Source organism: Homo sapiens, chromosome 8 (assembly GCF_000001405.40).
Source record: "Homo sapiens chromosome 8, GRCh38.p14 Primary Assembly".
Lineage (NCBI taxonomy): Eukaryota > Metazoa > Chordata > Mammalia > Primates > Hominidae > Homo > Homo sapiens.
The window spans coordinates 74693534-74717410 of NC_000008.11; the positions used below are offsets into that span (position 1 = coordinate 74693534).

The 23877-nt window shown below is 36.9% G+C and overlaps 1 long non-coding RNA gene and 1 other non-coding gene across 3 annotated transcripts in view; both read left to right on the forward strand.

Annotated features, from left to right (window-relative positions):
- The window catches only part of MIR2052HG (MIR2052 host gene), a 158596-nt gene that overhangs the window by 93777 nt on the left and 40942 nt on the right, over positions 1-23877 (forward strand). For both annotated transcript variants that reach the window (NR_197229.1, NR_033830.1), the window contains exons 3-4: positions 8846-8923; positions 10073-10149. This is a non-coding gene — a long non-coding RNA (MIR2052 host gene). The remainder of the gene's footprint in view (positions 1-8845; positions 8924-10072; positions 10150-23877) is intronic.
- Positions 12160-12214, forward strand: MIR2052 (microRNA 2052). The gene has a single exon (NR_031744.1). It is a non-coding gene; the product is annotated as a microRNA 2052 (primary transcript).

Here is a 23877-nt window from a genome sequence, read left to right on the forward strand (position 1 = left end):
GAGCCTAGGGCAAGTTCTCAGCTTCTCAGCCCTGCTCATCTGCTGCCTGGAAATAAAATCAGTGCTATTGCGGGGGCGGGGGGGGAGGGGTGGGAATGGTGGGAATGAGACCAGCCTTTTGGCTGTGTGGGAGCTGGGTGAGGCCTATCACTGCCAGCTTTTCCCCACTTCCCTGGCAACCTGTATGACACAGCGAGGGTGTCATAATCCCCCTGAAAACATAACTCCATAGGTCTGAGAGCCATACCTCCATCCCCTACAGCAGCCACAGCAAGCCCCACCCAAGGAAAGTCTGAGCTCAGACACCTCTAAACCTGCCCCCACCTTAGGGTCTTTCCCTATCTACCTTGGTAGCCAAAGACAAAGGACGTAATCTCTTGGGGGCTCTATGGCCCTGCCCACCAACTGAGAAACCCAAATATTTATCCAGGCAACCCTAGGGCAATCTTGTGTCCTCCCTATACTATTGCAGCTGATGCTCTCCTGAAAGTGCCACCTCCTAGCTGGAGGCCAAACAACACAAAACCAACACACTAAACAAAACTATAACCAAGGACCCTCACAAAGTCCAATTCACTCCTCTGCTACCTCTACTGGAGCAGGTGCTAGTATCCATGGCTGAGAGACATGAAGACAGATCACATCACAGGACTCTTTGCAGACACTCCCCAGTACCAGCCGAGAGCCTGGTAGCTCTACTGGCTGGTGAAACTCAGCAGAGAAATAACAATCACTGCAGTTTGGCTCTCAGGAAGCCCCATTCCTAGGGGAAGGGGAGAGCACCACATGAAGGGAGCAACCCATGGAACAAAATAATCTGAACAGTAGCCTTTAAGCCCCAAATCTTCCCTCTCACATAGGTCTACCCAAGTGAGAAGGAACCAGAAAAACAATTCTGGTAATACGACGAAACTAGGTTCTTTAACATCCCTGAAAGACCACATAGCTCACCAGCAATGGATCCAAACCAAGAAGTAATCTCTGAATTGCCAGAAAAAGAATTCAGAAGGTTGATTATTAAACTGCTGAAAGGTGAATATCAACTTAAATTAAAAAATGTTACAGGATATGGATGGAAAAATCTCCAGAGAAATAGATAGCATAAATAAAAATCAAACACAACTTCTGGAAATGAAGGACACACTTAGAGAAATGCAATATACACTGGAAAGTCTCAACAATAGAATCAAAGAAGTAGAAGAAAGAATTTCAGAGCTTGAAGACAAGTCTTTTGAATTAACCCAATCTGACAAAGGCAAAGAAAAAAATGAACAAAGCCTCCAGGAAGTTTGGGATTATGTTAAATGACCAAACCTAAGAATGATTGGTGTTCCTGAGGAAGAAGAGAAATGTAAATGTTTGGAAAACATATTTGAGGGAATAATAAAAGTTCTCCAGCCTTGCTAGAGACCTGGACATCCAAATAGAAGAAGCTCAAAGAACACCTGGGAAGTTCATTGCAAAAAGTTAATAACCTATGCACGTAGTCATCAGGTTATCTAAAGTCAAGATGAAGGAAAAAATCTGCATCAGGTAACATATAAAGGAAAACCTATCAGATTAACAGCAGACTTCTCAGCAGAAACCTTACAAGCTGGAAAGGATTTGTGCCCTATCTTTAGCTTCCTTAAACAACAAAACGATAAACAGCCATGAATTTTGTATCCAGTGAAACTAAGCTTCATAAATGAAGGAAAGATACAATGTTTTTCAGACAAGCAAATGCTGAGAGAATTTGACACTACCACCCCAGCACTATAAGAACTGTTAAAAGGAGCTCTAAATCTTGAAATAAATCCTTGAAATACACCAAAATAGAATCTCCTTAAAGCATAAATCTCACAGGACCTATAAAACAAAAACACAATGAAAACCAAGGTATTTGGGCAAAAAATAGCACAATGAATAGAATAGTACGTCACATCTCAATACTAATGTTGAATATAAATGGCCTAAATGCTCCACTTAAAGGATGCAGAATGGCAGAATAGATACAAATTCACTAACCAAGTATCTTCTTTCTTCAAGAGACTCACCTAACACATAAGGACTTACATAAATTTAAGGTAAAGGGGCGGAAAATGTTATTCCATGCAAATGGACACCAAAAGTGAGCAGGAGTAGCTATTCTTACATCAGAAAAAAAAAACTTTAAAGCAATAACAGTTAAAAAAGACAAAGAAAGATATTATGTACTGATAAAAGTCATTATATAATCACTAGTCTAACAGGAAAATATCACAATCCTAAATATGTATGCACTTAACACTGGAGCTCCCAAATTTATGAAACAATTACTACTATACCTAACAAATGAGATAGACAGCAACACAATAATAGTGGGGGACTTCAGTACTCCACTGACAGCACTAGAGAGGTCATCAAGACAGAAAGTCAACAAAAAACAATGGACTTAAACTATACCCTAGAACAAATTAACTTAACAGATATTTACAGAATGTTCTACTTAACAACTGCAGAACATACAGTCTTTTCATCAGCATATGGAACATTCTCCAAGATAAACCATATAATAGGCCACAAAACAGGTCTCAACAAATTAAAGAAAATCAAAATTATATCAAATACTTTCTCAGACCACAGTGGAAAAAATTTGAAATCAACTCCAAAAGGAACCCTCAAAACCATGCAAATACATGAAAATTAAATAACCTGCTCCTGAATAATCGTTGGATCAATAATAAATTCAAGATCAAAATTAAAAAATTATTTGAACTGAACGATAATAGTGACACAACCTCTCAAAACCTCTGGGATACAGCAAAGGCAGTACTAAGAGAAAAGTTCATGGCATTAAATGGCTACATGAAAATGTCTGAAACAGCACAAATAAACAATCTAAGGTCACACCTCGAGGAGCTAGAGGAACAAGAACAAACTAAAACCCAAACCCAGCAGAAGAAAAGAAATAACCAAGATCAAAGCAGAAGTAAATGAAATTGAAACAAAAAAACACAAAAATTAAATTAAACAAAAGATGTTTTTTGAAAAGATAAATAAAATGGGTAGAACATTAGTGAAATTAATCAAGAATAGAAGAGACAAGATCCAAATAAGCTGCATTAGAAAAGAAATGGAAGATATTACAAACAATACCACAAAAATACAAAACATCATTCAAGCCTACTATGGACACCTCTAATTGCACAAACTAGGAAACCTAGGGGAGATACATAAATTCCTGGAAATATACAGCCCTCCTAGATTAAACCAGGAAGAAATAAAAACTCTGAACAGACCAGTAGCAAGCAGCAAGATTAAAATGGTAATTTAAAAAATGCCACAAAAAAAAAAGTCCAGGACCAGATGGTTTCACAGCTGAATTCTATCAGACATTCAAAGAAGAATTTGCACCAGTCCTTTTGACACTATTCCACGAGATAGAGAAAGAGGGAATCCTCCCTAAATCATTCTATAATAATGATAAATCATTATCACCGTAACACCAAAACCAGGAAAGGACATAACAGAAAAGAAAACTACAGACTAATATCCCTGATGAACATACATACAAGAATCCTCAACAAAATACTAGTTAACTGAATCCAATAACATACAAAAAAGATAATCCACCATGATCAAGTGGGTTTCATACCAGAGATGGACAGATGGTTTAACATATGCAAGTCAATAAATATGATACACCACATAAACAGAATTAAAAACAAAAATCACATGAACATCTTAATAGACTCAGAAAAAGCATTTGACAAAATCCAACATCCCTTTATGATTAAAACCCTCAGTAAAACTGGCCTAGAAGGGACATATCTTAAGGTAATAAAAGCCATCTATGACAAATCCACCGCCAACATTATATTGAACGGGGAAAGTTGAAAGCATTCCCCTGAGAACTGGAACAAGACAAGGATGCCCACTTTTACCACTTACATTCAACATAGTACTGGAAGTCCTACGCAAAGCAATCAGACAAGAGAAAGAAAGAAAGAGCATCCAAATCAGCAAAGAGGGAGTCAAACTGTTGCTGTTCACTGATGATATCATCCTATTCTTATAAAACCCTAAAGACGCATCTAAAAAGCTCCTGGAACTGATAAATGAATTCAGTAAAGTTTCAAAATACAAAATTAATGTACACAAATCAGTAGTCCTGCTATACACCAACAGCGACCAAGCTGAGAATCAAATCAAGAACACAACCTCTTTAACAACAGCTGCAGAAAATAAAAACAAAAACAGAAAACAAAACAAAACAAAAAACCTTAAGACTATACCTAATCAAGGAGGTGAAAGACCTCTACAAGGAAAGCTACAAAACACATTGATGAAAGAAATCATAGACAACACAAACAAATTAAAATGCATCCCATGCTCATGGATGGGTAGAATCAATATTGTGAAAATGATCATGCTGCCAAAAGCAATCTACAAATTCAATGCAATTCCAATCAAAATACCACGATCATTCTTCACAGAACTAGAAAAAATAATCCTAAAATTTATATGGAACCAAAAAAGAGCTCATGTAGCCAATGCAAAACTAAGCAAAAAGAACAAATCTGGAGGCATCACATTACCTGACTTCAAACCATACTGTAAGGCCATAGTCACCAAAGCAGCATTGTACTGGTACTAAAAATAGGCACACAAACCAATGGAACAGAATAGAGAACCAGAAATAAAGCCAGATACTTAACAGCCAACTTATCTTTAACAATACAAACAAAAACAAAGTCGGGGAAAGGACAGCTTATTTAACAAATGGTGCTGGGATAATTGGCTAGCCGCATGTAGGAGAATGAAACTGGATCCTCATCTTTCACCTTATACAACAATCAACTCAACATGGATCAAAGGCTGAAATCTGAAACCTAAAACCATAAAAATTCTAGAAGATAACATTGGAAAAACCCTTCTAGACATTGGCTTAGGCAAAGACTTCATGAACAAGAACCCAAAGGCAAATGCAACAAAAACAAAGATAAATAGATGGGACTTAATTAAACTAAAAAGCTTCTGCACAAGAAAAGAAATAATCAGCAAAGTAAACAGATAACCCACAGACTGGGAGATAATCTTCACAAACTATGGATCTGAGAAAGGACTAATATACAGAATATACAAGGAACTCAAACAAATCAGCAAGAACAAACCAAACAATCCCATGAAAAGGTGGTTTAACATATGTTTTCACTCATAAGTGAGAGCTGAACAATGAGAACACATGGACACAGGGAGGGGAACAACACACACCAGTGCCTCTTAGGGGGTGGGAGGCAAGGGGAGGAAACTTAGAGGATGGGTCAATAGGTGCGGCAAAGCACCACGGCACATGTACACCTGTGTAACAAACCTGCATGTTCTGCACAAGTATCCTGGAACTTAAAGTAAAATAAAATGAAACATAAAACAAGAAAAGAAAGAAAAGGGTTAAGAACATGAATAGACAATTATAAGAAGATACACAAATGGCCAACAAACATATGAAAGAATGGTCAACTTCACTAATGAGCAGGGAAATGCAAATCAAAACCACAATGTGATACCACCTTACTCCTGCAAGAATGGCCATAATCAAAAAAGCAAAAAATAATAGATGTTGGCATGGATGTAGTGAAAAGGGAATACTTTTACACTGTTGGTGGGAATGTAAACTAGTATAGCCGCTATGGAAAACAGCATGGAGATTCCCTGAAGAACTAAAAGTAGATCTACCATTTGATCCAGCAATCTCAATACTGGGTATCTACTCAGAGAAAAAGAAGTCATCATACGAAAAAGATACTTGCACACGCATGTTTATAGCAGCACAATTTGCAACTGCAAAAACATGGAACCATCCCAAATGCGATCAATGAGTGGATAAAGAAAATGTAGTATGTGTATGTGTGTGTGTGTGTGTATATATATATATATATATACACCATGGAATCATACTCAGTCATAAAAAGGAACAAAATAATGGCATTCGCAGCAACCTGGATGGAATTGGAGATCAATATTCTAAGTGAAGTAACTCAGGAATAAAAACAACATCGTATGTCCTCACTCACAAGTGGGAGCTAAGCTATGAGGATGCAAAGGTGTAAGAATGATACAAAGGACTTTGGGGACTTGGGGAAAGGCTGGGAGGTGGGGCGAGGGATAAAAGACGACATATTGGGTACAGTGCACACTGTTCGGGTCACGGGTGCATGATAATCTCACGATAATCTCAGAAATCACCATCGCTGTAACCTAACATCAACTTTTCCCCAAAAACCTGTTGAAATTTAAAAAATACAATTAAGTGGAAATGGTTTCTATATGGTAAAATGCCGTGTAAGTCTTTGTTTGTATAACATTTCTTTTCCAAGTGTTTTCGATTTTAAACAACCCATACTTAGAATAATACTTGATTTAACTAACTATAGTTGTGGAATATATTGTGTTTGGTCTTTGGTTAGCTATGGTAACTAAAATTCATTAAGTGCTAACCCGTTTATCAACCATTTTGCTAAGAATAATCTCATTTAATTCTTCTAACAATGCTATGATGAAGGTAAAATCATTTTACCAATGAGAGAACCGAAGTATACATAGGGATATGAGATGGTTTTTAAACTGCCAGTATACTACATTATTACATGTATATAGATAGACAATGGTGGAGCTTAATGTATGAGCACATGCTGTGCTGTGTATATGTATGTGTGTGCATACGTATTATACATACAGAAATACATAAATATCTACAACAGGGAAACCTGCTTATCAGCAAAGTATGCTGCTACAGACATATAAGGTATACATAACTAAATATAAATTTGGAGTAGTTAATTTTGGAAATCATCTACGATGTGTGAAACGCCATGTTCAATGCTCTAAACCAGTGTTGCCTTGTAGAAGTTTAACATGAGCCGTATATGTCATGTAAACTTTTCTGATAGCCACATTAAAAGAGTAATAAAACAGGTGAAGTTAATTTAATAACAATACTAGCTATATCAAATGATTTCAATCCCTATTTCCCTTACAAACACAAGAAAAAATAATTGATAGAAAAATTAAATCACTATTTTATATTACAAAATCAAGGCTAACTTTTCAGTTTTAAAAGTTTCTGCTTTTGATATTGATGGGCTGCTGTGGGCAGTCTACACTTATAGATCACTAGCCTTGTGATGGAGGGCTCTCATTTCTGAGACAGCTGATTGTATTTTTTGTGCAATCCTTGATGAAAAAATAATGGATGTTTTTTCAGTTTTTTTCTGAACTATATTTGTAACCAACCCATGACTGTATCCTCTCTAGGTATATGTTCTATCCCACTAAATTCCAAAGCAAAGTGATTATTAATTATTTAAATTCCACAAATATGTATTGATGTTTTCTTCTATGCTAAGTACAGATATAATTCTGAAATAGCTTTTTCACTGGTGGAGCTAATAGTCTATACTAAAGGAAAGATAAATAAATATATAATAAAATGCAGTAAGTGATTTGTTTCTAAGATATCACACAGAAATACAGTATAAGAGCACTTTTCTCCTGTACCTTTACTTCTTTCAAACCTACTACATGAGATAGTAAGACACAGTTGCTTAGAGAATAAAGAAAACTGTGGCCATTGCCTGAAAGGAGTGAAGTTTGATGCTTTGGTGAATGAGAATTTGATAAATATTTAGAATCTTCTGTACACTTCTTATCTGAGGATGTTCTTAGTTTAAAAAACATTTAAAACTCAAGGTAATGCATGCAGTGTGAAATTATCAAATTTTGTTTTATTATCAACTTTTAAACTTATTATTGAATAGATGGATATTAGAACATTTTTTAAAATGTAGTAAGCATTTGGTTAGTTTTGCTAGCCACCGTTCAAGCACTGTTTCTACTTGGAGAGAATGCTTCATTGTGCGGGGGTTGGAAGTCAATTGTATATTCCTTCTCCATACTCCGGGGCAGTCAGGGCTTGGACATATGACCTATGCTCAGCCAAGGTAGAGTCCAGTGGCTCCATAGAGGGTGTTTAGTTGGGGTGGCACCAATGGTGGCATCCTAACTAGACTGTTCCTAGGTTATGACATTGGCTCTTTTCTTGACTGCCATGTCTCTTTTGCTTCTTGTCATTTTCTGAGCCATTCTTTTCATTTTCTGAGCTATTTTCCAGCATTCCTGTTGATTCTGTGAACTACTAATAGTCTACTAAATAATTTGATTTTGAAATCAATTAGCCAAAGTCAGTTTTATGCATTTACAATCAAGGATTTAACTTCTATGGTGCTTGGCACCAGAAAGTCAATGGTCTCAAAACCCCAGGGAGAGAAGAACCTTATCTCTGGTTAACCTGGAATTGCAGGCAGTGAAAAATCCAGTTAATGTCCGGTGAGTTTCTGGTAGCTTATGGCATGCAATGACAAAACAACTAATTACCACTTGTGGTTACCAATAATGAGGTTTCAATGAAAGGTAAATCTTTGAGGCATTGCATTGATATAATACTAGAGAAAAATTAAGGTCATACAATTTCCAGGATGCCAGAACGGGTGTTTGCTTCTAATGGAAATAAGTAAAAATAGAGAGGGCACAGGTTAAAGTTCAAAATTTTTGACTCAAGGTATAAAACTTAGGAACTTTCCATCATTACACTAAAATAATTTATTTTCTGCTGCAGCTACAGTGTTGAAAATCAAATGCAAAAGATTGAAAATGCAGATTGTCAAATGCCTTTATAGGAGTTCACAGAAATGCCAGGTCTTCCATGTGAAAGCGATTTTGATTAAGAAGGGATAAAAGAATATGCATAGTTATATTGGATGATATCAAAAGATACAATGACCTTGATGTACTTTGTACCCTAACTCTCACTAGCTTCCTTTGCCAGCTGAAGCTATGCCATCTTTTATGTCTGATGAGGCAGTTTCATCTGATTTGAAGATGATGAAGAAAAGTTCTTTGCAAGGTAAGTCAGTTCTTCTGAAGACTTGCCTGTACCTCAATGTCTGCACACATCCTACTAGAATTGGGGAATGGAATATACATGTAAGCCAGATTCAAAGCTTTAAGCCTAAGAGGAGGAGATTTCACCACATTCAAAGTTAAAACCTAAAAAGGGAAGATTTCACCCCAAAGAAATAAAAAGAACTGGACAATTATTTTAACAAAACTTTGGGAGATATGTGTGAGAAGATATTCTGAAGTACCAAGAAAGGAAGAGCACTACATTAGACTGAATTTAATAATCAATTCAATCAAAGTGTTTTCTTGGCCAAATGGCTAAAATCTGGATTAAAACATGGCCCATGCTAAAGTTTAGATGCCCAAAATTCCTTGGCATGATGTATAAGGAAATAACCCAAAGGTAATGAGCAATAGAATTGATTGTGATCGACTCACCTATCCTAACCATGTTTGTTAAGAGGGTTCAGAAGATATCCTCTTCACCAAGGCCTTGATAAATATATTGGTGAGAGGGGTGTTACGTTCTCTGAAAAGTTCTGCAACGTTTTGGATGTTGAAGGGGGTCCTGCAATTGAAAATGAGTTCCCTAATGTCAATGGGGTGGAAAGATCCTAGAGTAGCAGAAGTCACATAAGAATATTCAACAATCAGAAAAAAAGTGGACGTGGCTACTATGATAGGTAATCAGAAGGGCCTTGCCCTTGGGGATTGTTGGTAGCGTAAGAGTACATAGGACTGATGGTGACCAAATCTTGTGATGCCTAAGACTCAGGTAGGTCCTGAGAATGGAATTCCAAAATCTAAATCAGTTCACAGGATCAGAGCTCTTATAATAAATATAGACTTAAGGAAGGATGCATCAGTACCATAATAAGTACATACTGTGAATCTTTATTTTAATCTTCCTCAAAGAAACCTATGGTCTTTTACCAAATGATTATGCACTAGGGAATGGGAAATACCTAAAGTTTTCAGAGCCTATTGCATGCTGGCTCCAAGCTAACAATAATTCCTAGGCACCCAAACGATGACTGTACTCCATGGATAACAGCAGGATTTAGGGCAATCAGGAGATAAATGGAATTGTGACCCATCCCCCTTCATGATGGGATTACTGTTATCTCAGCTATATTCTGCTATTGTTTTTCAGGTTGCTTATTGAATATTACTGGGAAAACAGGAAAATTAGGAGGAATGTTCTGGAGTGATTTATCTTTTTCATCAGGGGTGAGTAGAATTTCTGCTATGCTGTGGGATCTGGAAGTCATGTGGATGAAAGTCAAGTGATCTCTTTTGGTCCCCTTTCATACCACCATGAGTCTAGTCAAAGCTGATAGCGGGTTAATACAGCCTTATAAATTGTGGATAGCTGAGGATTAAGCATCCTTAGGAATACAAATGTGTATTTCCAATGATACCCATCAGGTAGCACTGATAAGCACCGGTGCTACCATATTACAATAAGTGGAGATCCTGTACTTGGAGGAATTTAGTAATTTATCAGACTATGGATTGCCTACTTTTGGAGAGGAGTAGTTATATTTTGGGTTGTAAAAGGGATATTTGAGTAGGGTGGTAACTCTTTTGAGGGAAAGGTAAGAATAGGAGGAAGGGAACATCTGGCTAATGGGAAACATATATCTATATGGGAATAGATCTGTGATTTTTTTTCTATTAATTTTCTAAAATTTATTTCTTTTCGTGGGTATCTGCAATGTGTGGAAGTTACTGGAAAGCAGAGGTCCTTTCCCCACTAAAGAAGGCCTTAAGAGACAAATATTTTCTTTCTATACTTCTTGGCAATGAGAGCATTGGCATGTGATCAATGCTTGGTTGTTCCTTCGGGACAGTGCATCTTGAGGAAGTGACCAAGGGACACATGCAATAGTTTTATGCTTCTTGCCTCACTAACATCCATGTGTGCCAAAGATAGATGGAGTCTTTCCAGGCACTAACTACAGAGAATAAAACTATGATCTCCTGGGAGGTGTCAGGAGGGTAGTAGTCATCTGGCCATAGGAGATCCAGCAATTTCTTTTTCATATAGACTTCCATTCCTCCTATCCTCAGCCCTCAGACTTTCCCCTTTTTCTTTTTACTAAATCTGATGCCTACAGGCCTCTCTGGGATTTCTTCAGGGTGAATCAACTTTATTCTCCTCAGGATCCCAAAGTGGGGATAACTGCACTTAGAATTACAGTGCTGTCACTCAGCTACCTCAGTAATCTCTCTCCTACACTTCTCATCTTCCAAAACTTGGTTGAAATGTTTCATCTACTGAGATCTCCCAAATGGTTTATCTTTTTTGACTTGATAAACATTTCATTTAAGGAAATTTTGGAAGAACTTCAGGAGGCAGAGGAGAAAAATACATATTGGCAACATATCAAGTTTAACATTGCAATCTTCACAAACTATCCTCTTTCAATGGTTAGGATAAGCATGGCAGGATAATTGTATTGTTAAAACATGTCCAGAAGTTAACTGTGAATAATATCACTGTGCTCTAAAGCATAGGGCCACATCATTATTGAAAGTTGCACTGGTCATGATGGTATAGCAGCTCAGCTGAACTTCCTTTACTTTTATTCTTTCTTTTTTTTTTTTCCAGTGGAAGATGTCAGGATGTCAGGATCTTCCACTAAATGGGGCAACTTTTGCATCAGAGTTTGATTGACTACTGTTAATGTCTGTCTCAATTTTGATTTCTAATTCAGACAATATTACAAGAAAACCCAGTTTAGGGACATGCCAAAAGTTTCATAGGAAAAAATTATTTAATTGAGTTTTTATGTTTGCCAAAACCCACTCAGTTAAAATACTTTGCAGACATTTTTTTTTCTAGTAAAATTAAAAGTATTTAACGTTCTTCCATATGTTTCAGGTTGAAAGTTGATGTACTAACCCTTTCTCTTCAGCCTCTCTAAAAAGTAAATAACCTCAAAAATTGAACTGGATGTAAAAGTCATATATTTTCATTCTAAGATTGATACTTAAGGTCGTTTCCAAATACCACTACTCTGGCTGAATTTATGGCCTTTTGATGCCCCAGACTGTTTCCTTTTGAGGACTCTGACCAAGAGTCTGATCTTTCTATAGTTGGCCTGTGAGATTTGAAAGGGAAAAGCCTTCAGTAAAACATAGAGATGGTGCTTGTAGTCAAGGGATACGACCTTAGGCAGAAAGAAGGGGGAAAAAAAGACCATGTCAGTTTCTACTTCCAAGAAAAGCTGGTTGCTGTTTTGATAACAGTAATGTCCCTTTAGTTCAAAGTTACCAGCTATCAAAACAAGTTGCAGTCCATAGCAGACTAACTCCTTTCCCTTACAGAGAAGCAGATTCTAGTGTAACTGACTCCAAATAAAAATATATTTACGATAAAACTAGGCCCATGGATAGCAAGCAGAAATCAGAAAAAAACTAAACTTCTGAAATGTTCGGGAAAAAAAATATCATATGCTGTTTATATCCCTACAACTAAGATATCATTAGAAAAATTGTGTTAGAAGGAAATAAAATTCTAAAAGACGACACATCAAGGAGACAGGGTAATAGAAATTAAGTATCTATTAAAGTAAAATACAGAATCACTCCATCACATGTGTTAACTGTTCAGCAAAGCAGTTCTGCTCTGCAGTTGGTATGAGGTTTGAGCAGGAAGTATTATTGTCTGGCGTCAGAGCCAGGGCAGGATCCAGCTTGAACCTCCAAGTCATTTCACAAGGAAATATGAAATTGCAGAACAGTGTGGGTGGGCAATGGACATGACCTGACTTTCATTTATTAAATAAACACAGACTTGAGTAGTTGTACTTCTGAGAACATTAGCAGTGGCATTGCCAAGGTATAGCACTTGGGGAAGAGGGAGTTTTGTCCCTTCATAAATCTCCATGAGCAACCCCCTCTAAGTCATCCCTCATAAATTTACAATCTAAGTAATCTAAGTAAAATCAAGTGTGCTTGCTCTGTAATGTAGCTTCCAGGCAAATTAATTAGCGTTCACTTCCAAAAACCTTCTCACTCCTAAGTCCTTTCTATAGCGAAATTCAGGAGCTGCCAGTGTTAGTCCAACTCCCAAGATTATGTGCAATGTTGGTTCTTGCACGAACCAGAGCACGAGGGGCCTCCTTGGTCTCCAGTTCTCTTGTATCATTGTTTCATTTGCTGGCAACGAGAGCAGGTAAAGAAAACCATAGTGTTTGTGTAGTATAAAAGATGACTTCTTAAAGATGTGCAGACAGCAAAATCCATGCTTAACCAATTGTAAAAATAAGAAAACCTGAAAACAATTACTAATCTATTTATACATGTAAAAACTGGAAAATGAATTCTTAGTATATGGACTGGACAGCTCTCAGAAAATTTTTTTTCACAAGCTTCTTGGCGGGGAAGGGCATATTCTGCTTCTAGGCAGAAATGAAGTCGTTGGGGAGGATTTGCAAGTGCGTGAAGTGGATGCACACGGGTGAGGCGTGCCCATTTTAGGTCAAATGCACTTTTCTAAAATGTATTGGTTAAGAAATAAAAAGAGTACCACAGAATTTCATCACATCCCACTATTGCATTTTCTAATTATGGTGTTTGTCAATGTGACTAGTGAAAATTCAATATTTATAAAATAACTACATTCTAAGCCTGTGATGCACAGTCAGTGTTTGAATCAGAGAATTTGTGAGTTAAAATTCCCTCCCATGTAGATATCTGTCGTCACCTGAAAGCTCTTACCATCTGATCTAAATATGTGAGGCACTGCTGGGTGCTATATTGTTACATTGAGTGTTTGAGGTTGGAAATAATTTTAAAACCGATTGAGTCTAATGGCCACATCTGCCCAGGAGAGGCTGAAAGTCTTCTTCAGAATACACCCATGCTGACAGAGTGATAGCCACTGTTATAAATACAAAGTCTGTGAAATAAAAATAAAATACATACAAGCAATTAGGATAGTATCGATATGGTAGAGTCTGAAAGGTATCAAGAAAGCTACAAAGTCAGACAGGTTAAGCAACCAGAATTCATTTTCTTGTTTAGTCACTCAAAATATTCTTTTTCTAGCCACAATGTTGCAACCAGTTTTATGGATTTGTGCCCTGATAGTATGCAACTCTTTGTAGTCTTTGGACTTTTTTTTTAACTGCAACTGGGGCTATTGGGCTATTTTCATAAACTGTCACTTAACTGGGCAAAATTCCAGTCCAGATGCTCCTGGAGTGTTTTTATGTATGAGACATTGTCTGCTTATTAAGGCTTGTCTGTAATTTCAGTTAAACTGTTGAGTGGACATTGTTGCTTACAGAAGTTAGAAGATACCAGAGAAAGAATGGACAATTTTTGTGAGAAACAAGCAATTCTCTGATGTTTGAGATAATATTAAATAAATCAACCGGAGATGATGATGGATTAACTAATTAAGGGATCCACGTAGTCTTTACAAAGGCACCCAGGAGGTGCTTATAATATCCTTGAGGATGGATGTCTTTATGATGCAAACAGTGAAAAGAACTCTCCTTGGAAGAAGACAAGATGAAAGAACTTTGTCTAAGTTCCAAATGGAAATGGAACTCCCCCATTAAAAGTTAAAAAAAGTAAAGAGGAAGACCTAGAGGAAGTTCTTCAATAGAGAGTCTTCGGCTTTCTCTATCTGTGAGCCATTTTGCTCCAGGGAATATGTTTCCTCATAAATTTTATGAAGAGACCCCGTGATCTGGCATCTTGAGTTGGCATATAATTGAACCCACTCACAGGATCTTAATATCCTCTGCCAAAGGAGTCATCATCTGAATGGGAAAACCTTTGCAAAATTTTCCCTTCATCTTACAAGAATGACTAATTTTAGTTGTATCACAAGGAAGCATTTTGTTCCAAACACAGTTCCTAGAAATAGCGGGGCATTCCAGTCCAACAGATGCAAACCTTCCTCATGAGAACCAAACCAGCATGCTTGGGCAACTTGTCAATGAAGCCAAATTCCCTGCTTTCAAGAAGATTGGAAGAAGATGGGGCTTCTAAAAGAAGAGATAGTTCCCACAACTCTGTGTGGGTTATCTGGATTGTAGAATATTGACAGCAAAATTTAAATCCCAGGAGGTCTCTTCCTCATCTCTCTTGGACCCCCTCCTTTGTTACTCTTCTCACTCGTTAAATGAAAGCATATTTCATCATGAAGCTAAACAAAACTTAGTTGAACATTTAAATTTATTATATAATTGTGACAAAGTAAAATATAATGTATAAATTACACAGTTATGTATATGCAATGTGTTAGTAAATTCTGAAAATGTAAAATAAAATTTTAAAATTAAACTTTAAAATAAAAATTTTAAATTAGAATTTAAATTTAAAAAAAATTTAAATATTTTAAAATTAAAATTAAAAATTTAAATAAAATTTTAAAATCTAAATTTAAATTTTAAAAGTGCATGGCATATTGGGAACTTCACTGAACTGTAAGATAGAAAATGAGTCCCGCTTATGGCTTTTCTAGTAACTAATTTAGATTAGTAGCTTCATCTTTGTATTTAGTCATCCGTATAATGATAGAATGGACCTAATTAATCTGTAACTTATTTGTAGACCTAAAATTCTTTGATTCTGAATATAACATGTTCCTCTGCCTTGTATCAGAAATAATCATCAATATCAGATGGTGTTTGCTAAGTGTTGAGTGAGCTAATTAGACAAGGGAAAAGAGGTCAGTTCCAGACAGCATGGCAAGATAGTTTCAGGGAACTACTGGGACTTGAGAAGTGAACAGGAATGTAGTAAGTGAATTGCAGAGCACTCAAGGCATTAGGATGTGGCATAAGTTAATGTATGGAGGAAGTAAACTCCAGATGTGTTGAGCATCAGGAAGTAGATTAACTGGCATCATGGAGAATTAAGACAGGCTAGCATGAAGTTAGAGACCAAATTATGGAGAGTATTCAGTGCCTGGATATTCAGAATTTATGCTAACAAATAGACAACATCAGACCTTTTTTTTTGATTGGGGGAGGAGTTGGGTAAATGGGGGAATTACATGGGCATAAGTTTTTGAAAAAGAGGAAAATGTTACTCCTTTTCATTATCTATCTGTTTCAGAATTTTTTTTCAAAAGCATGGACAGCTAAGAGTTGATTTCTTCATTGGGGCAATATCTTGGAATCTCTTAGATTTCTATATTAGCTCAAATTTTCTTATTTTATTGCTTAACCCAATTTATCTGATTAATTAGAAGTTCATTAGGGAATTTTTTGTGTGTGTCACACATTACTTAGCAGTTATTAATTTATTCCTCAAGTATTTCATGTGTGCTGTGCTTATGGGGTTGGGCTGAGTTCTGGCAATAAGACAGACACATTCTTCACTTTCTGAAGCTTCTAGTCTGTCCATTTACTTTTTTGAGTGAGTGATATTTCAGAACTTGTATTTTTGTATGGATTTTGCATATTTTATTGGCAGTGGTAAATAATGATAATTTTTAAAATTGGCAGTGGTAAATAATGATAATTTTTAAAATTTCTGCAATATGCATCTAGTTTAACAGTTATCAGAAATTCTTGTTTCCTCTGAGGAATAGTTTGCAGCCACCCCATTCCATATCATTTGTGTTACCAAATCCTCTATGTTCATAATGATAAATTCCAAGTATGCCCATCTAAGTAGCGATTTTTAAACTTAAACCATTTGATTTGCATTATTCTTCCTGGAATAAGCAGATTTGAACTTTAGAAAATCCTCTGGTTCCTTTGGGGGAAAGAAGGAGTAAGCAGGCATAACAGAGGAAATAAAATAATCAGTGGGTCAGGGATGTTCAGTGGAGAAAGTGAAAATGGATCCACCAATTTTGATTATATTTTCAAGACTCATAATTTACCCTCAGGAAAGTTAAAAATGCTTTATTAGTCCTTTTGTGATCTCATTTCTCTTGCAAATTTCATTTTCAACTAATTTCCCTTGTATAAAATGTGAGGCAACTTGGGGATTTTGCAATGTGATGTGATTGTGCTTAGGGATGGTCTGGGTACCACGTTTTTAAGTAGACCGTAAGAGAAGGGTGACACTTGTCTTAATTTAGAGATTTTTAACATTTTAAGGTACTTAAAAACCATTATAAAATTTAGTATGGCGTTTATAGCAGAGTAATGTGGTGGAAACTTTTTGCACTGAGAGTCCCTGAACTATATAAGTATTCACAATTCCAGGCCTAGAAGTCGTTATGAAATGAAGTTTTACATAGTGGAGACTATCCTGGGTTTTAAAGGATACTTTGGAATCTATCTACTTATGGGGTTCATACAAAGTCCTGGGAGATGATCCAGCATATCTGTAATCAGTGCTTTTAACCAGATTTCATTTACTTAGGAGATTTGTTTACTTTATCTGATTATGAGGGAACTGTATGAGTCACAATTCAAATTACCAATAATATCAGACAGTTAGATTGAGCATAGCTGGGTCAAGTTATTGTTAGTGCTGGGTGACTCTCTGATGTGAGCAAACTGTGCCCCACGTTTTGACTCAACCTGCTCCGTACCTCTATGCTGTCATGGACTGCCATCATGGACAACACTATGCCTTGACAGGGCTCAGTAGTGGTCCCTACTTTTGACATTTTTCTCCTTTCTCTTCTTCAATACAAGTCTATCACTTTTGTGAACTATGCATTGTTCATTATCCAAGTCCACTGGAAAACTGAAACATGAACACAAACTTTGCCTCCTCTGGAAGCTTTCCCTGGCCCACTAGCTAGGTCATATTCTAGCTGTCACACATTCTCCTGGCTCTCTGTGCATCTGCACTGCCCTTTTCCCAGGTATAATTAGATATTCATGTAAGTACTTCTTTAATGTACATTTTCCCACTGTACTGTATGCTCTAAGAATGAAGGGACACTATATTGTTTACTGTTCTATACCCATTCCCTAACTCAATGCCTTGTGTATGTAGGAGGATCTTAATCATTTTACTGAATGAATGAATAGAATTTCAGCTAGATTTTATATAATAGTAGGCACTCCATACATGTTGAGTTGAATACTGCCTCAATTCCATGTATAAGACCTTTTCTCAAATGGGATTTTGTGGAACAGTGGTTGGAATTTCAGTCACAGTGACAGTTCCATGGGAGATATAATGCCTGCTCGGCATTTGATTAGAGCTGTTCCTAGTTTCCAATAACAATACAATGCCTTCCTCCCAAATGTAGTATCCAGTCAATGAGAGCTCATGGGATTTGCTTTATTCCAAACCATGTTAATTTCCCTTTACATTTGTACATTTGCTAACCTGATGTAGTAATGGCTGGATGTTATATGAAATTAAAAGGATTAAATAAATCTCCTTGCTTCAAATTCAGAATGCTTTTGGTTAAATTAAAGGGAAAATTATAACCGCAGATGTAAGCCAGTTTGGGTGTGGAGCAACCATGTGATGGAAATAGACTGAACTCCTGTGGATGCTTCCTGGGATGGTGCTGAATGCACTGCAACATGGCTGCGGCTGGAAGAAGCAGATGGGAGGCTTCTGGAGAGTTCCTTCCATGCCTCACCGTTTGCCATATTGGTTAGTCCTCCACCCTGAGAAAAAGAAGATGGTGGCATTTAAGGTTATACTCTGCAACCAGATCACATGAATTCAGAGCTCACATCTATCTTTTGTTATTTGGGTTTTTCTGGGCAAGTTACTTAAACTCTCTGTGCCTCATTCTCTTTACCTTCAAAACCAGAATAGTGGTAATACCCACTGTGTAGAGTTATTGTGAAGATTAAATTAAATTTACATGTAAACACATGTAAAGTATGTAGAAGAGTTTGCTAGGGTAAATGCTTAGGAGGTATTATTTTTATTATGACTAGATAGAGCATGGAACTTGAGCAATGGTGAAGGCTGACACTAGGCAAATGAAATAAGCCTGGTTTTCAAATGCCCATCATTCTGGCTAAAGAAACTTAAAAATGGGAGGAAACTCAGCTTAATATATGTCTCTCAACTACTTACATGAAATCATAACATTTGGAATATCTTATATTTAGTTTTAATATCTCTCTTGAGTAGGCAGGGGAAGTATTGATATGTGTCCTCAGCAGACCAGGGAATTAAAGATAGGGAAGTTAAATGTTTTGTCCAAGATCAAATAGCCTATAAGCAGTGGATCAGGGATTAGAATTCAGTTCACTTGAAATTGTAGTCCAGGACTTTTGTATTACAACTTGGCTACTGCTCAAAGGTTGGCCTCAGATTCAAGACTCTTTAGCTTTTTCTGCCTTTTTTTTTTTTTTATAAATCTATTCACCTTGATCATTCAAATGTACTTAAGACTACCCATTGTGTGGATAGCACTATTGATTGAGATAATGTTCTATATGACATTGATTTTTTTCTGTCCATATTTAATAAATAGTTACTAAGTTTGGGGCAGTAGGGATGTAGAAATAAAAAAGACCTTGTTCTTGACCTCAAAGAACTTGTGTTACAGCGGGGAATGCAGATAGGAAATGAAATAAAATACAGCATGATGTGTGTTGATAATAAAGGAAAGCACATACGCCAAGAGGATAGAGTGTAGTATACAGGCAAGAACCCAGCTAGGAAGGCAGAGGAGGCCGTGGTTAAAGAAAGACATCTGAGCTGAGTCCATGTTGAGGTTAGATGTTAGTCAATGTTAATACTAAAGAGCTCACATGAATGGACACTTTTTTATATGGGAGGCACTGTTCTAAGTCCTGTGCATGTGTTAATAAGTAACAAAGAAATACAGCACTATTAAAATGGTGTTATAATTTGAAATGCAAAGCTTCAAAAATATATCTTGAATTTGTTCACTCTCTCAATCTTCAGTGTAATCATCACCTCTTTTGAACAATTTATGTGGCCCCTTCCACTCTTATCCAAGTCTAAGCCACTTCCTACAGAGCAGCCAGAATTCATTTCTTAAATGACAAAATGGATGTAACTCTCCTACTTGAAGCCTTCACTGACTCTTATTTTATTCAAAATCCGCACCTTTTTTTCATGACCTATAAGCACTTACATTATATAGCCTCTGACCTGTTTGCTTATCTTCAGTTTTTTTTCATTTCTTTCCTTTTCATTTGTGATTCCTTAATTTTTTACTTCTCCCATCTCTTCTCTCATCTCCTACTGATGCCATTTCACAAGTCACTGTAGACAGTGCATAGAACACTGATACCATAGGATGCTAATATATGATTTAAAAAAATGGATTCATGGTTAGATAGGTTTGGAAAATATACAGTCAAATGAGGACAGATTTTTTTGGTTTACTTTGCATAACGTTACCTATCTAAATTTGCATTATAAATTTTGCATTATTCTCTAACTTACTCATTAACAAAAAAACAAAATTTAAGATGATTCTTATATGAACACACTTTCAGAAGATACTTTGGGAAATGTCCCACCCTAAAGAAAAACCATATTAAAGAGATCAATCTTAAGTTGGATTCAGAAGGTCAGCAAATGTATTACCCCAAAAATCTTATATCTGGGAGAAAAGATGGGGGGAACAGAGTTAAGAAAAGTTCATGAAATCCTAAGAGAGTCTCCTAAGAGACTCTCTCTTAGGAGATTCCGCAAGTGGAATACCTTGTGTATTCAACAACTAGGGTTTCTATCATGTTCTCAAATTAGGTTCCAAGGATTGAAATTGAGTCATTCTTTTGAGTTAATTAATTCCAATCAGGGTTTATTAAGGATCTACTAGGATGAGTCTTTGACTGGAAAGCTTCCTTGGCAGAGAGCACCACGAGGATGAGAGAATTGTTCCTTTCCTGTTTTCCAATCAGATAGGGTGGCACTGTATTGATATGAGCTTGGGTGGTCCTTAACACATTTCCATGAATCAGAAATTATATTTGCCAAATGCTAATCTGTTGTAAAATTAATAGCAACATATGTGTGTGATGAGTATCATTTCATGGGTTTTATCTGTTTACAAAAGACGGGGAAAGGAAATTATAAAACCATATAGCATAAGTTCATAAAGTAAATGAAAGTTATATAGATTTAGTCAGTGTATCCAACTCTATATTAAATGATTTTAGAAGACTGAGAGAACACTTCCAGAGGGCTACAATGGTTTAATGCTAGTGTGGTTTTGTTCTGTTTTTGTGTTTTACTATTCTTTGTTAAACTTTTTGCAATTGTGTGTGCTAGAATTTCAGGGTGTGAGGAGTAGGTTGGTTATCCTAGAATAATTTCTCAGTAATGAAAGCCTTCTTTGGGAGACCTCCTTTTTCCTTCTTTTTTTTTTTTTTTTTTTGTTTTTTTGAGACAGAGTCTCACTCCACCCAGGCTGGAGTGCAGTGGTGCAATCTCGGCTCGCTGCAACCTCTCCCTCCTGGGTTCAAGCAATTCTCCTGCCTCAGCCTCCTGAGTAGCTGGGATTACAGGCGCTGCTGCCATGCCCAGCTAATTTTCATATTTTTTGGTAGAGATGGGGTCAAACTCCTGACCTCAAGTGATCCACCCGCCTTGGCCTCCCAAAGTGCTGGGATTACAGGCGTGAGCCACAGTGCCCGGTCCTACTTTTTCCTTTTCTATTGTTTTTTTATTGCTACCAAACACATCTTTGCCAGGCATAAAACAATAAATATGGATTTTAAAAAGGGATGAACATTTTTGAAAACATATATTCAAAGAGAATATATTCTTAGAATATTTCTATTACTATTAGTAAGGAAAGAATATGACCTTCACAATGAAACATGGATGAACTGTGTGTGTATGAAAAAAACTGATGACTAAAACTGATAACTAAAAGTTAAAGGCCTGCAGCTACTTAAAAGACAATCCTAGCACAAGTTACGAGTACTTTTGACTTGCAGGATTCATAAAATAACTAAAGGAAGACATTGATTAGATTGGCAACAGAATCCTAGGAAATTTGGTTGAGTTCATGCTGCCTGGATATACAGGCATAGAACAGGGACAAAAGTACCTTCTGCCTAATTGTCCATGGCGATTCACAATTCAGAATTAACTTTACACAAAAAAGATATAAACCTTTATGTTGCCATTGTGATCTTACCATGAACTCAAAGGTGTTTGACTAGAAAAATCCCATTCTGTTTGTGACTTGTGAACTGAATACGTTTTGGACATTTAAATGGACATCTTGGTCATTGGGTTTCTCTCCCATGCACAGACAAATAGATTAAAAAAAAATTCAGAGAAAGAAAGACCTGTACTTATTTGTGTTTGCTCAATCTCTTACTTTACAAATGGAGGGTGTAACTTGTCCCAGGCAAGGATATTGCTTGCCAGGAACAAATAGAGCCCCATAAAAGCAATTTGCAAAAAAGTAATGTGTTGGTCCAGGGAGGCAATCTTTATACTTGCCAAGAAAATTATGGGAAGGATTGTAAGTAACAATTAAAGCCTCTGGGCCTCATCTGTGAAATCATGTCATCTACTTCTTCCACTAAGTTTCTGTGGGGTTCAAATTAGAAAATGTATGCAAAATTAATTTTTCAACTCTAAATAATTTCTAAATGCTGCTGTCTTAGCCTACGTCCCTCCAGAAATAGACCCTGAATGAAAGAATCAAATGCAAATGGTCGTTTGCAAAGAAGATCCCAGAAAGCTCTGGTAGGAGGACGGGGAAGCAAGACCAACAGAGACTAGGTTATTAAGTTGATTACTGCTATGGACAACTGGGGGCCCACTCCCACTAGTGTACAACACACCTTGGATGAGTGCCACCTGAACAGTGAGGAAGCTGGTGTAGTCTCCTCTCGCACTTATCTCTGGGCCATGCAGCCCAGAGAAATCTCTAACGTAGGGAGAAATGGGTGCTTGTAGTAGGCAGTTCTGAGGGTTCCCAGAATGGTGAAGAGTATCCCTTGCATCTGCTACAATTGGTTAACATCATGAAACAGAAGTTGGCTTGAAAGCAAGCTTTAATATAGCTCTAGGGTATGTCTACAGCTGGGCCTTTTATAGAATATTATTCCAGTGTAAAGAATGAATCCAGGGCCGGTCACAGTGGCTCATGCCTGTAATTCCAGCACTTTGGGAGGCTGAGGTGGGTGAATCACAAGGTCAGGAGTTTGAGATCAGCCTGACCAACATGGTGAAATCCATCTCTACTGAAAATACAAAAATTAGCTGGGTGTGGTGGTGCGCACCTGTAATCCCAGCTACTCAGGAGGCTGAGGCAGGAGAATTGCTTGAACCTGGGAGGTGGAGGTTGCAGTGAGCCAAGATCATGCCACTGTACTCCAGCCCAGGCAACAGAACAAGACTCTGTCTCAAAAAAAAAGAGAATGAATCCATATTTGGGGTGAATTTAGATGATTATTTTATGATGGGTAAATCATTGTGTTGTGCCTCTGTACGTGGATATGTGCATGCATGCCTTATCTTGTAAGAACTTATTTTGGATTATTTTATTAGGTTGGTGCAAATGTAATTGCAGTTTTTGCCACTGCTTTTTTTATATATATACTGGCTATGAATATTATTTATTCTATTACTATTTATATACAGGTGAAAGAAAATAACTTTCTCAAGCATACACATTCTTTATTTTTTTAATTTAATTTAAGTTTTAAAATTGTACTTTAAGTTCCAGGATACATGTTCAGGTTTGTTACATTTGGTATACATGTGCCATGGTGTTCTGCTGCACCTATCAACCCGTCATCTAGGCTTTAATTCCCACATGCTTTAGGTATTTGTCCTAATGCTCTCCCTCCCCTCACCCCCGACCCCCTGAAAGACCCTTCCTTGTTGTTCCACTCCCTGTGTCCATGTGTTCTTATTGTTCACCTCCCACTTATGAGTGAGAACATGTGGTGTGTGGTTTTCTGTTCCTGTGTTAGCTCGCTGAGGATGATGGTTTCCAGCTTCATCCATGTCCCTGCAAAGGACATGAACTCATTCTTTTTTATGGCTGCATAGTATTCCATGGTATATATGTACCACATTTTCTTTATCCAGTCTCTCATTGAT